This window comes from Homo sapiens, chromosome 4 (assembly GCF_000001405.40).
Source record: "Homo sapiens chromosome 4, GRCh38.p14 Primary Assembly".
In the NCBI taxonomy this organism is placed as follows: Eukaryota; Metazoa; Chordata; class Mammalia; order Primates; family Hominidae; genus Homo; species Homo sapiens.
In genome coordinates, this window is record NC_000004.12 from 169,291,147 (window position 1) to 169,306,293 (window position 15,147).

Sequence of the window (15,147 nt, forward strand, 5' to 3'; positions counted from 1 at the left end):
TTTTAAACTTAAAAAATCATGTTCTTGAGTTCCAGTTTAACGCTGTAATTGAAGCTCCTCAATTGCACTAATTACTTTTTCTGTTCAAGTTGCCATGCCCTTTTTCAGCAGTTCTATTTTGCTGGCAACCGCCATTTCTGGATGCTCTGCTCACTCTTCCCCATTCTGGCTTTGTTGTTCCTTTGCCTATGTTATTCACCTGGGGCCAGGTCTTCAGCAGCAGCTATCTCTTGAGTACAGGAGGCTCCATGGTCTCTGATCCTGTAGACAGACAAGTCCTCAGCTGGAAAATGCTTATCTTATCTTCTCTGCTCCCCAGTTTCCTTAGCTACAAAGGTTAATTTTCTCTTAGTTGTAAAGATACAAAGTCTTTTTTTTTTGTTTAAATTTTAAAAATAATTGAGATGGAGTCTCGCCATGTTGCCCAGGCTGTTCTCAAACTCCTGAACTCAAGCAATCTACCCGCCTCAGCCTCCTAAAGTGCTGGGATTACAGGTGTGAGCCACCAAGCTTGGCCAAAGATACAAAGTCTTATTTCATTCGCCACTCCTTGAGGGCCAGAGAGACCAGCAAGTCCTTCTAGGTATAGTTGTGTCAGCTGTAGGCTGGGTTGCTGGGTAGAATATATTACATGGGACAGACTTACATAAAAAGAATTATTCATTATTGATCTAAAATTCAATTTTTGTTTTGTTTTGTTTTTGAGACAGGGTCTCACTCTGTCACCCAGGCTGGAGTGCTGGAGTGCAATCAGAACTCACAGCAGCCTTGACCTCTTGGGCTCAAGCAATCCCTTATCCTCAGCTCCCTGGAGTAGCTGGGATTATAGGTACGCACCACCATGCCTGGCTAATTTTTGTATTTTTTGTGGAGATGGGGTTTCCCTTTGTCGCCCAGGCTGGTGAAGTTGGAATTTAGCTGTGTGTTCTTTCTCTCTTTTGGGTAAATTTGGCTGCCCTAAGGCCAGGCGTGTTGGCTCATACCTGTAATCCCAGCAATTTGAGAGACTGAGGTGGGCGGATCACTTGAGGTCAGGAATTCAAGACCATCTTGGCCAACATTGTAAAACCCCCGTCTCTACTAAAAATACAAAAATTAGCCGGGCGTGGTGGCAGTTGCCTGTAACCCCAGCTACTTGGGAGGCTGAGGCGTGAGAATCACTTGAACCCTGGAGGCGGAGGATCAGTGAGCCCGAGATCACACCACTGAACTCCAGCCTGGGCAACAGAAAGAGACTGTCTCAAAAAAAAGAAAAAAAAATTGGTCTGCACTGATCAGCTGGGTTGTTCTCCTTCTTGTCTTTTCTCTTGTCTATGGATCCCATGGGCCAAGCTCTCTTCAGTAACCTCAGAGCTCTGACCCTTGCCTCAAGGTACCTCTCAGGCCCCAAGCTCTCTCTGGCCTGAAGGATGCTCCGGCCCAGGTCCAGTACAGGCCCTCTCTGTATTGAATCCCCACAGCACCTAAAACCCTGCATGCCCTTCCTTCTGCCTCCTAGGCTCCATTTGAGAAGGAGTTACAGTTACATGGAGCTGGGAGAGGAAAAGGAGACACAGAGGTGCACGTTAGGTAGCTGTGGTAGAATATGTGAGGAAAATGATTCTTAGAGCCAGCTAACCTATCATTTAAGTAGGAAGACGGGCAAAAATATTTCCAGACCTGAAAACCCTCAGAAATCCTCTTTCTCGAGTATTTTTATGAATAGGTAATGTGAAGATGTCCTCAAGCAAACAAGAGAGTAAAACAAGAAAGAAGAAAATGTGAGCACTAAGAAAAAGTCAATCCCGGCAGGGAGCACAGTGCGGGGCCGTTCCCGAGTATGAGCGGTGCAGCAGGCCTGGAGAGGAGCCAGGTCAACCGGAGCACACGCACAGAACTCCAGAAGGGAGGGGGCCGCAGACGAAACAGCGCACGGGAGGGAACGGAAGAACCTAAGGATGGGATCAAAGAGAGGCAATCTGAGTCCTTCCAGTCAACTTTTATTTGAGATGTGATAGGATCATTCAGGGCCGATCACATCAGGGATCCCACTCAAAATGTACCGTATTTAGGTTCATATCCCCAGGGCCAAGTTGAAATCAAACCAATCTCTGAATAACGATATAGGATATATGTAAAAGGCCAATGAATGCGATACACTCTGCTCAAATTCAGACACCTGAGGTCTCAAAATAACTCATTTCAAAACTTGGATTCCCACTTTTGTCCTGCCTCCATTCATTCTACCTAAAGAAAACCAAACTAAAAAATAGGCTTGTGGTTCCAGTCTAGCTTATAAGAAGTTGCTACTGTTTCCCACCACAAATAAAATGCAGAACAAACTGAAAAATCAACAATTCTATTCTTAGATCCATAAGAGAAGTGAAGTCACAGGGCAAACCGCTGCCCCCATAATGGAGCAACTGAGCGGAAACCCACAAGCTGAAACCTCTCAGGAACCTGTGTTGGGGAAGGGAAACCTGAATTGCAACTGATGAATTGCTGGAGGCTCAGTGTGGACAAGTTTGAGAGATATTAATAAATATTCCAGGGGACTGAGTCCCCCTCCAGGAGCTCAAACAGTTCCTCGCAGTGAATATTGGAGACGAATCCTCTCCTTCTGGCATGGGGAGGAGAAAAGGAACCATTTTGAAATACGCCAGAAAACTGTGTTCTTAACAATGCCTGCCCTCAGGAGAAACTATTTAACCAGAGCCTAACCTGCTGGGGTTTCATCAGACCCTAACTGACCCAGGGAAAATAAATGCCCAACTCCAACCCACTCTAGCCATTCAGTCCACCTGTGCAGGGTGGGAACTGAGACACATCTGTGAAGTTCACAGTCCAGAGGCACAGGCTGCCTAAAGAACAGATACCTAATTGTGAAATTATAGAACACTTCCCCACCCCAACACCATACCACCACATTACTAAAGGCTAATCGACAGCAGTTCCTTTTAACCAGTGCCTCATGTCCAGCTATCAAGAAAAAATTACAAGACATATTGAAAGGCAAAAATGTAGTTTGAAGAGACAGAGAAAGCCTGAGAACCAGCCTAAAATATGTCAGGGATGGTGGAATTATTAGGCTGGAAATTTAAAACAACTATTATTAACATGCTTAGGGCTGTAATGGATAAAGTAGACAGCATGCAAGAACAGATGGGCAATGTAAGCAGAGGGATGGAAATCCCAAGAAAGAACCAAAAATAAATGCTAGAGCTCAAAAGCAGTGTAATCAGAATGAAGAATGTGTCTGATGGCTTATTAGCAGACTGCACACAGCCGAAAAAGAATCTGTAAACTTGAAGATACCTCAGTAGAAACCTCCCAGACTAAAGAGCAAACAGAAAAAGAAGACTGAAAAAAAAAACAAAAAACCAGAACAGAATATCCGAAAAGAGTGGGACATACACAAATGGAAACACCAGAAGGAAAAGAATGAGAGAAAGGAACAGAAGAAATATTTGAATAGCAATGATTGAGAATTTCCCCCAAATTGTCTTCAGTCACCAAACCATAGATTGAAAAAGCTCAGGGAACACAAAACAAGATAAATTCCAAAAGAAAACTCTACCTAGGCATATCATTTTTAGACTAGAAAATCAGAGGTAAAGAAAAAATATCCTAAAAGAAGCCAGAGAGAAAAAACTTTGCCTATAAAGGAGCAAAGATAAGAATTATATGTGACTTCTCAGAAACCATGCAGGCAAGTAGAAAGTGGAATGAAATACTTAGCGTGGATGGAAAAAAACACCACAAACCTAGAATTCTGTGCCCTGTGAAATTATCCTTCAAAAGGTGAGGAGAAATTAAAGCTTTCTCAGACAGACAGAAATTGAGGGAAATTGTTGCCAGTATACATCCTTGGCCAGAAATGTTAAAAGAAGATCTTCAGAGAGAAGAAAAATGATACAGGTCTGAAACTACCATCTACATAAGTAAAGGAAGAGCATCAAGGAAGGAATAAGTAAGGGAAAGAAAATTTTTATTTTTCTTGTTCTTAATTATCTAACAACAGTTTGTTCAACATAATAATAGCAACAATGTATTCAATTATATATACATACAGATTCCAGAGAAATTAAAAGAATAATCAAGCAATACTTTGAATAACTCTGTGTCCACAGATTTGATAACCTAGATGAAATGGGGATAATTCCTTCAAAGATCCAGTCTGCCAAAAGTCATACAACAAGAAACAATCTTAATAGGCCTATACCTCTTGAAGAAATTGAATTAATTAATTAATAACTTTTCAAAATAGAAAGCACCAGGGCCAGATGGGTTTATGAGTGAATTCTACCAAACATTTAATAAGGAAATTATATCACTTCTCTACAAACTCTTTCAAAAGATAGAAGCAGAGGGATTACTTCTTAACTCATTTTACGAGGCCTGCATTATTCTAGTACCAAAACCAGACAAAGGTATTAGAAGAAAACTACAGACCAATATTTCTCAAGAATGTGGTTGCAAAAATCCTAAAATATTAGCAAATCAAATCCAATGTTATATTAAAAGAATTACATACCACAACCAAATCGGAGCTATCCCAGGTATGTAAGACTGATTCAACATTTGAAAATCAGTTAATGCAATCCATCACATCAACAAGCAAAGAAGAAAAATCATATGATTATATCAACAGATGCAGAAGAAACATTGGATAAGATCCAAGACCATTTCATGATAAAGACTCTCAATAAAGTAGGAAAGAGTGAAACTTCCTCAACTTGATAAAGAATATCTACAAAAGACCTACAGCTAACATCATACTAAGTGGTGAGAAACAAGAAGCTTTCCCACTAAGATCAGCAACAAGGCAAGGACATCTCCTCTCTCACTACTGCTTTTCAGCATCATAATGGAAGTCCCACCTAATGCAATAAGTCAAGAAAAGGAACTAAAAGTATACCAATTGGAAAAAAAGAAATAGAACTGTCTTTGTTCACAGATGACATGATTGTCTATGTAGAAAAAAAAATGACCAAAAAAAAAACTCTCCACAAAGCCCTGGAACTACTAAGTGATTATAGCAAGGTTGCAGAATGCAAAGTTAATGAAAAATTCAATCACTTTCCCATTTACTGACAATAAACAAGTGGAATTTCAACTAAAACAATGCAATATCATTTACTTTAGGACCCCTAAAAATGAAATACTTCGTTAGAAATCTAAAAAAATATGTTCAAGACCTATATGAGGAAGACTAGAAACCTCTGATGAAAAAAACAAGACCAACTGAATAAATGGAGAGACATTTCATGTTCATGGATAGGAGAACTCAACATTGTCAAGATGTCAGTTCTTTACAACTTGATCTATAAATTCAACATAATCCCAATCAAAATCCAAATAAGTTGTTTTGTGGATATCCAACAAACTTATTCTAAAGTTTATATGGAGAGGCAAAAGCCCCAGAATTACCAACATAATATTGAAGGAGAGCAAATTTGGAGAACTGACATTATGTAAGTTTAAGACCTACTATAAGCTACAGTAACCAAGACAGTGTGGTATTTGTGAAAGAATAAACAAATAGATCAATGGAACAGAAAAGCCCTAAAATATACACACATAAATATAGTCAAGTGATCTTTCACAAAGGAGCAATGATAATACAATGGAGAAAAGACAGGTTTTTCAACAAATGCTGCTGGAATGAGTAGACATACACATGCCAGAAAAAAAAAAAAAAAAAAAAAAACCTGGCCGGGTGCAGTGGCTCATACTTGTAACCCAGCACTTTGGGAGGCTGAGGTGGGTGGATCACAAGGTCAGGAGTTCAAGACCACCCTGACCGACATGGTGAAACCCTGTCTCTACTAAAAATACAAAAATTAGCTGGGACTGGTGTCATGCACCTGTAATCCCAGCTACTCAGGAGGCGGAGGCAAGAGAATCACTTGAACCTGGGAGGTGGAGGTTTCAGTGAGCCAAGATCATGCCACTACACTCCAGCCTAGGTGACAAAGCGAGACTCTGTCTCAAAAAAAACAAAAATGAAAACAAAAACAAACAAAAAACCTAGACACAGACCTTATACCCTTTACAAAAATTAGTTCAAACTACATCACAGAGCTAAATATAAAACACAGAAATGAGTGGCTGAATGGATTAAAAAAAAAAAAAGACCCAACAATCTGTTGCCTACAAGAAACACACTTCATATATAAAAACACTCAAAGACTGAAAATAAAGGGATGGAAAAAGATATTCCATGCAAATGTAAACCAAAGAAGAGCAGAAGAAGCTATGCTTATGTGACACAAAATAGATTTTCAAGACAAAAACTATAAAAAGAGACAAAAGTCATTACATACTGATAAAGGGGTCAATTCAGCAAAAGGATATAACAATTTTAAATATGTATACACCCAACACTGGAGCATCCAGATATATAAAAACAAATATTATTAGAGCTAAAAAGACAAATAGACCTCAATACAATAATATCTAGAGACTTCGACACCCCACTTTCAGCATTGAATAGATCATCCAGACAGAAAATCAACAAGGAAACATCTGACTTAATCTTCAGTATAGACCAAATGGACCTAATCAATATCTACAGAACACTTTATCCAATGGCTGCAGAATACACATTCTTCTCCTCAGCACACGGATCATTCTCAAGGATATGCCAGATGTTAGACCACAAAACAAGTCTTTAAAAATTAAAAAAAAAATTGGCCGGGTGCGGTGGCTCACGCCTGTAATCCCAGCACTTTGGGAGGCCGAGGCAGGTGAATCACAAGGTTAGGAGTTCGAGATCAGCCTGATCAACACAGTGAAACCCCATCTCTACTGATATAAAGTACAAAAATTAGCCAGGCATGGTGGCATATGCCTATAATCCCAGCTACTTAGGAGGCTGAGGCAGGAGAATCACTTGAACCTGGGAGGCGGAGGTTGCAGTGAGCTGAGATCGCGCCACTGCACTCCAGCCTGGGTGACAGAGCAAGACTCTGTCTCAAAAAAAAAAAAAAAAAATTTAAAAATTGAAATTATATCAAGTATCTTTTCTGACTACAATGGAATAAGACTAGAAATAAATAACAAGAGGAATTCTGGAAACTATACAAATACATGGAAATTAAACAATATGCTCCTGAATGACCAGTGAGTCAATGAAGAAATTAAGAAAGAAATTTAAAATTTTTTTGAAATAAATGATAATGGAAACACAACATGCCAAAACCTATGAGATACAGCAAAAGCAGTACTGAGAGAAAAGTTTACAACGATAAGCACCTATATCAGAAAAGTAGAAAAAAAATAAATAAACAACCTAATGGTGTATCTTGAAGAACTAGAAAAGCACAAGCAAACCAAACTCAAACTTAGTAGAAGAAAAGAAATCATAAAGATAAGAACAGAAATGCAGGAAATTGAAATGAAGAAAACAACACAAAAAATCAATGAAATGAAAAGTTGGCTTTTTAAAAAGATGAACAAAATCAACACCAACAAACTTTTTTTCAGACTAAGAAAAAAGAGAAGAAATCTAAAATTAAGTCAGAGATGAAAAAGGAGACATTACAACTGATACCACAGAAATTCAAAAGATCATTAGAGGCTACTGTGAGCAACTACATGCCAATAAATTGGAAAACCTAGAAAAAATGGATAAATTTCTAGACACTTACAAACCACATAATTAAACCATAAAAAAAATCCAAAACCTGAACAGATTAATAACAAGCAACAAGAGTGAAGCTGTAATAAAAAATCTCCCAGCAAAGAAAAGCCCTGGACCAGATGGCTTCACTGCTGAATTTTACCAAACATTTAAAAAAGAACTAATACCAATCCTACTGAAGTATTCCAGAAAATAGAGGATGAGGGAATACTTCCAAACTCATTCTACAAGGCCAGTTTTACCCTGATACCAAAACCAGATACAGACACTTCAAAAAAAGAAAACTGTAGGCCAAAATTCCTGATGAACATTGATGCAAACAGCCTTAACAAAATACTAGGAAACCAAATCTGACAATACATTAAAAAGATCATTCATCATGATCAAGTGGGATTTATTCCACAGATGCAAGGATGCAACTAAAGTAATACATCATATCACAAGAATGAAGGACAGAAACCATGATTGTTTCAACTGATGCTGAAAAAGAATTTGATAAAATTTAACATCTCTTCATAATGAAAATTTTCAAAAAAATTGCATATGGAAGGAACATACCTCCACACAGTAAAAGCCATATATGACAGACCCACAGCTAGTATCATACTGAATGGGGAAAAACTGAAAGGTTTTCCTCTAAGATCTGGAACATGAAAAGGATGCCCACCTTCACTATTGTTATTCAACATAATACTGGAAGTTCTAACTAGAGCAATCAGATAAGAAAAAGAAATAAAGGCATCCAAATTGGAAAGGAAGAAGTCAAATGATCCTTATTTGCAGATGATATGCTTCCATATTGGAAAAAACCCAAAGACTCCATCAAAAAATGATTAGAACTGATAAATTTAGTAAAGTTGCAGGATACAAAATCAACATACAAAAACCAGTAGTATTTCTGTATGGCAACAGCAAACAATCTGAAAAAGTAATCAAGAAAGGAATTCCATTTACAATAGTTACAAATAAAATAAAATACCTAGGAATTAACCAAAGAAATGAAAGGTATCTACAATAAAAACTATAAAACACTGATAAAATAAATTGAAGAGGACATGCAAAAGAAGGAAAGGTATTTGATGTTCATGGATTGGAAGAATCAATATTGTTAAAATGTCCACGCTACCTAAGCAATCTAGAGATTCAATGCAATCCTTATCAAAATACCAATGACATTCTTCACAGAAATACAAAAAAAAAAATCCTAAAATTTATGAGGAGCCACAACAGACTCAGAACAGCCAAAACTATCCTCAGCAAAAAGAACACAACTGGAGGAATCACATTACTTGGCTTCAAATTATACTGCAGAGTTGTACTAACCAAAATAGCATGGTACTGTCATAAAAGCAGACATTCAGACCAATGGAACAGAAGAGGGAACCCAGAAGCAAATTCATACATCTACAGTGAACTTATTTTCAACAAAGATTCCAATAACATACATTGGCAGAAAGGACAGTCTCTTCTATAAATGGTGTGGGAAAACTGGATATCCATATGCAGAAGAATGAAATTAGACCCCTATCTCTTGCCATATACAAAAATCAAATCAGAATGGATTGAAGACTTAAATCTAAAACCTCCAACTATGAAACTACTTAAAGAAAACATTAGAAAAAATCCCTGGGACATTGATCAGGGCACGCATTTCTTCAGTAATACCCCACAAGCACAGGTAACCAAAGCAAACATGGACCAATGGGATCACATCAAGTTAGAAAGCTTCTGCACAGCAAAGGAAACAATCAACAAGGTGAAAAAACAACCCACAAAATGGGAGAAAATATTTGCAAACTTGCCATCTGACAAGTGATTAATAACCAGCACATATAAGGAGCTCAAATCACTCAATAGGAAAAAATCTAATAACCCAATTTTTTAAATGGGCAAAGGATCTGAACAGACATTCTCAAAAGAAGACATACAAATGGCAAACAGGTATATGAAAAGATGCTCAGCATTATTGATAATCAGAGAAATGCAAATCAAAATGGCAATGAGATTATCATCTCACCACAGTTAAAATGGCTTTTATTGAAAGGACAGGCAATAAAAATGCTGGCGAGGATGTGGAGAAAAGGGAACCCTCATACACTGTTGGTGGGAATGTAAATTAGTACAACCACTATGGAGAACAGTTTGAACATTCCTCAAAAACTATAAATAGAATGACCATATGATCCAGCAATCCCACTGCTAGGTATATACCCAAAAGAAAGGAAATCAGTATATTGAAGAGATATCTGCACTTCCACGTTTATTGCAGCACTATTTACAATAGCCAAGATTTGGAAGCAACCAAGTGTCCATCAACAGACAAATGGATAAAGAAAATGTGGGACATACACACAATGGAGTACTATTCAGCCATAAAAAAGAATGAGATCCGGCCAGGTGCAGTGGCTCATGCCTGTAATCCCAGCACTTTGGGAGGCTGAGATGGGTGGATCATGAGGTCAGGAGTTCAAGACCAGCCTGGCCAAGATGCTGAAACCCTTTCTCTACTAAAAACACAAAAATTAGCCAGGCATAGTGGCACACGCCTGTAATCCCAGCTACTGGGGAGACTGAGGCAGGAGAATCACTTGAACCCAGGTGGCAGAGGTTGCAGTGAGCTGAAATCATGCCACTGCACTCCAGCCTGGGTGACAGAGCAAGATTCCATCTTAAAAAAAAAAAAAGAATGAGATCTTGTCATTTGCAACAACATGGATGGAACTGGAGGTCATTATGTTAAGTGAATTAAGCCAGGCACAGAAAAACAAAATTTGCATGTTATCACTTATTTGTGGGAGCTAAAAATATTAAAGCAATAGAACTCATGGAGATAAAGAGTAGAAAAATGATTACCAGAGGTTGGGAGGGGGATGGAGGGGAAGTGGAGATAGTTAATGGGTAGACAAATGTAGTTAGAATGAATAAGATCTAGTATTTGATAGCACTATAGGGTGACTACAGTGAACAATAATTTATTGTGCATTTTAAAATAAGGAAAAGAGTTTAATAGGATTGTTTATAACACAAAGAAAGGATTAATTCTTTAGGCGATAGATATCCCATTTCCCCTGATGTGATTATTATGCATTGTATGTCTATATCAAAATATCTCAAGAACCTCATCAATATATACACCTACTGCATACTTACAAAATTTTGTTTTATTAAAAAAATTAGAAAAACCCCACAAAACTATAAAAGTCCTGCAAGATAACATAGGAGAAAATCTAGATGACCTTGGGTTTGATGATGACTTTTAGATATAAAACCAAAGACATAATACAAGAAAAAAAGAATTGATTAGCTGTACTTTCTTAAAATAAAAAATTTCTGCCCTGCGAAAGACACTTTTTTTTTTTTTTTTGAGACAGAATCTTACTCTGTCACCCACGCTGGAGTGCAGTAGCACAATCTCAGCTCACTACAGCTTCCACCTCCTGGGTTCAAGCGATCCTCCTGCCTCAGCCTCCCGAGTAGCTGGGATTACAGGCATGCATCACCACACCTGGCTAATTTTTGTATTTTTAATAGAGATGGTTTCACCATGTTGGCCAGGCTGGTGTTGAACTCTTGGCCTCAAGTGATCCACCTGCCTCGGCCTCCCAAAGTGCTGGGATTACAGGCGTGAGCCATTGCGCCTGGCTGAAAGACACTTTCAAGAGAGTAAAAGACAAGCTACAGACTGAAATAAATATTTTCAAAAGTTATATCTGATAAAGGACGGTTATACAAATATACAAAGTACTCTTAAAACTCAACAATAAGAAAACAACAACCCAATTAAAAAAATAGACCACAGAACATAATAGACACTTCTGAAGAAGATCTACAGATGACAAATAAGCTTATGAAGATATGCTCATCATATGTCATTAGGAAATGCAGCAAGTGCAACTTAAAACAACAATGAGATACCACTACACACCTATTAGAATGGCCAAAATCCACAACTCTGACAACACCAAATGCTGAATCTGTATTAGTCAGGGTTTTGCAGAGAAACAGAACCAATAGATATAAAAGAAGATTTACTATATGGACTTGGCTCACACGATTATGGAGGCTGAGAAGTCCCTCCTCTGTCATCTGCAGGCTGGAGACTCAGGAAAGCTGGTGGTGTAATTTACTCTGAGTTTGAAGGCCTGAGAACAAGGGGAACTATTGATGTAAATCCCAGTCTGAAAATGATATGAGATGTCCTAGATGCAGCAGTGAGGAAGGTAAAAAAGAGGAGGCAGGGAGCAAATTCCTCCCTTCTCCACCTTTGTTCTGTTTAGGCCCTTAATGGATTGATTGATTGCTGTTGTGGATGACAGCCACAATGGGGAGGGCAATCAACTAAATCCATGGATAGTCAAATGGTAATCTCATCTGGAAACACCCTGACAGACACACTCAGAAACAATGTTTCATCCAGGTGCCTCTAAACCCACTCAAATTGACACATAAAATTAATCTTCACAAATCCACCCCTGTCAACTTGGTACCCATGCATACCTCCCCAATCCATATTAATAAAGACAACAAAAAGTCTTAATTCTGCCTAACATACCACAACTATCCTGCAAACAATCAAAAGCGCACAAACCTCTTCCCTAGGAAAGGAGGTAAGGTCCTTTAGTGATACTTAACTCTTCTCCTTCGTATCTCATAACTCAGATACTATGATGTAAAGTTAACAATACTGAAATACTGTGATATAAAATCAGTACATCTAAGGTTACATGATAAGGCAGTAAGAAAGGAAGGAAAACAAAGATTATATACACACATATTCATAGCAACATAGGAGAAAATAATCATGACAATTACATTCCTAACTGATCTTGTAGTCATGGTGGTAGCCAGTATTTTTAACTATGGGTGGAGGAAGGAGGAACCTTCTACTACATATTCTGTATTCCCTTTGCCTTCAGCAAGCTCCTCAGCTGGTTGTGATTCTTCTTTGGTGTGGTGACCCAAAATTTTATTCCTGAAGGATTTGGGACATTAATAATCCTGGCTGGACTGGGTTTTTGTAATTTAATCACAGGATGCAGTAATACTAAGAGATGCCCCACGTGACCTCCTGTATTCCACATATGCTCTTTCTTTGGTTGTGGTTGGTCTACTACAACCAAAGTAGACCAGCTTTCCCTTGGGAGTCAGGATCAATCACCCCAGCCAACACCATGACTCCCTTTCACGAGGAGACACAACAATGATTCCACTGAACTGGAAGGTAAGACCAGCCACAGTAGGAACTCTCATTCATTGCTTATGGGAATGCGAAATGGTACGGCCACTTTGGAAGACAGTTTGGTGGTTTCTTACAAAACTAAACATCCTCTTCCCATACGATCCAGCAATTATCCCCTTTGGTATTTACCCAAGGAAGCTGAAGTATTATTTCCACACAAAACCTGCATACAGATGTTTATGACAGCTTTATTCATAATTGCCAAAACTTGGAAGAAATCAAGATGTCCTTTAGTAATTGAATGGATAAATGAACTGCAGTATATCCAGCCAGTGGAATATGATTCAGCAGTAAAAAGAAATGAGCTACCAAGCCAGGAGAAGACATAGAAAAGTCTTAAATGTCTATTACTAAGTGAAGGGAGCCAATCTGAAAAGACAACATACTGTATGATTCCAACTCTATGACAACCTGGAAAATGCAAATCTATGGAGACAGGAAAAAGTTCAGTGGTTTCCAAGGGTTGCGGGGAGGGAAAGGTGAATAGGCAGAGCACAGAGGACTTTTAGGGCAGTGAGACTACTCAGTATATCATTACAGTGGCAGAGACATGTCACTATAAATTTGTCCAAACTCATAAAATATGCAACACTAAGAGTGAAACCTAATGTAAACTATGGACTTTGGATGACAAGATGTGTCTGTGTAGGTTGATAATTTGTAACAGATGTACCACTCTGTTGAAGGAGATTAATAATGGGTGAGTTGCATGAATGGGGGCACGGGGTAGATGGGGAATCTCTATACCTTCCACTCAGTTTTGGTGTGAACCTAACACTGATCTAAAATATAAAGCCTACTAAAAAAAAAAATACACTCACATACATGCACACACACACACACACTCACACACTTTTGGCTAGTGAGGAAAAACTCATGTGTGTGTGTTATACAATATATCCCTATCTCTTGATATAAAAAAATAGCTTTCAAAATTTTTGCTTGGGGCCTGGTGTGGTGGTGCGTACCTATAGCTCTAGAGCTTTGGGAGGCTGAGGCAGGAGGATTGCTTAAGGCCAGGAATTTGAGACCAGCTTGGGCAATATAGTGAAGACCCTGTCTTTAAGAGACCTTGTCTCTTAAAAAACTAAAAATTTTTTTTTATTAGTTCAGTTCCCTCATCTGGTAAGTGAAGCAAATAAGAGTACCTTAAAGAATTGTGGAATTAAATGGGTTATATATAGGGAACAGTGTGTGGGATATGGTAAGCACCATGTAAGAGTTTGGTATTGTAATTAATGAAGGACAGCAATGCTTTATACTACTGGAAAAGCTCCAGTATAAAACTGGTAATAGGAACAATGTAAATTTGTAACTACCATAGATAATTATATCACTACGCAAATAAAATGTGAAAAAAATTTCCTTAGTTCCTGTAACTTGGTAGTAGCTGCAACCTCAGTGCTTGCTTTGTTGGCATCTACTTGAAGATTGTGCCAATTAGTGCAAACAGAAAAGTAGCACAATGGATTTAGAGTCATTTTGTTCAAAATAAGGCAATACTTTCCTATAAAGCACTGTATTTTACTGTAAAAAAATTAAGAAAAATTAAAAGCAAACTGAATATAGATTTAGACCAAAGAGAAAATTTAAATATTTTTGTGCTGAGAGAACATGATGCCATCTCCTTCTGGGTAGACAATGACAAGGCCCTGAAATCCTGTGAGCATGAAGTTTGCTTGGATAATGAGATTGTCACTGTGACCTCCTCTTGGCTCAAGGCCTCTTGTTTATTTCTGGTTTTCAGTCATGCTCTTGGCATAGCTCAAATGCTCAAGAATATTTATCATCCCTGTTCATGTTTCCAAAGCAGACAGGATTTGCTGTTCCCTGCCATGAGAGGGGAATACAGAGTGAGGACACCTGCTGTGGGGTGGGACGGGGAGGGAGGCGCCTGGTGTTCCCTGGGCCATGTCTTACTAGGAGATAGATTGTATGTCTCAGGTCACAGGTGTCCCAGACTGTGGTTCTAGTGGGTCTGTGACCATTAGTCAGCCTGAACCTCCCTTCACATCCTGTCCCCTCTGTGTAAAGTATTCCTCCTCCCTCTATCTTCTCCTTTCTAGCAATTGGGAGGATGAAGGCAGCTTGAGGTTCTCTGTGGCTGCTGTGTAAGTGGACTAAGTGGGCCCTCAAAGTCTATTTTTCAGAAGGGAGCAGAAAACCCCAAAAGGCTTCATTTCTAAGCTTCATCCTCCAACACAGTTTCCTGGAAACTCTACTCACCATTAATCGTTTATGCCCTGCTCCACACTTGACCAGCAAAACTCCGATCTAACCTTCC

The 15,147-nt window shown here is 38.6% G+C and overlaps 1 long non-coding RNA gene across 3 annotated transcripts in view, besides 2 other annotated features; it reads right to left on the minus strand.

Moving 5' to 3' along the window:
• Positions 1-15,147, minus strand: part of LOC105377529 (uncharacterized) — a 55,915-nt gene that overhangs the window by 15,883 nt on the left and 24,885 nt on the right. For 2 of the 3 annotated variants that reach the window (XR_939437.3, XR_939436.3), the window contains exon 3: positions 5-261. The exons of the other annotated variant lie outside the window; for it this stretch is intronic. This is a non-coding gene — a long non-coding RNA (uncharacterized LOC105377529). Of the gene's footprint in view, positions 1-4; positions 262-15,147 lie in introns of those variants that run through there. 3 annotated transcript variants of the gene reach the window in all.
• Positions 2,183-2,252: an enhancer, noted in NCBI's record as "active region_22133". NCBI's record gives its function as "activates an Ori minimal core promoter by ATAC-STARR-seq in GM12878 lymphoblastoid cells {active_cell/tissue: GM12878}" and the evidence as "EXISTENCE:reporter gene assay evidence [ECO:0000049][PMID:35858748]".
• Positions 2,263-2,382: an enhancer, noted in NCBI's record as "active region_22134". NCBI's record gives its function as "activates an Ori minimal core promoter by ATAC-STARR-seq in GM12878 lymphoblastoid cells {active_cell/tissue: GM12878}" and the evidence as "EXISTENCE:reporter gene assay evidence [ECO:0000049][PMID:35858748]".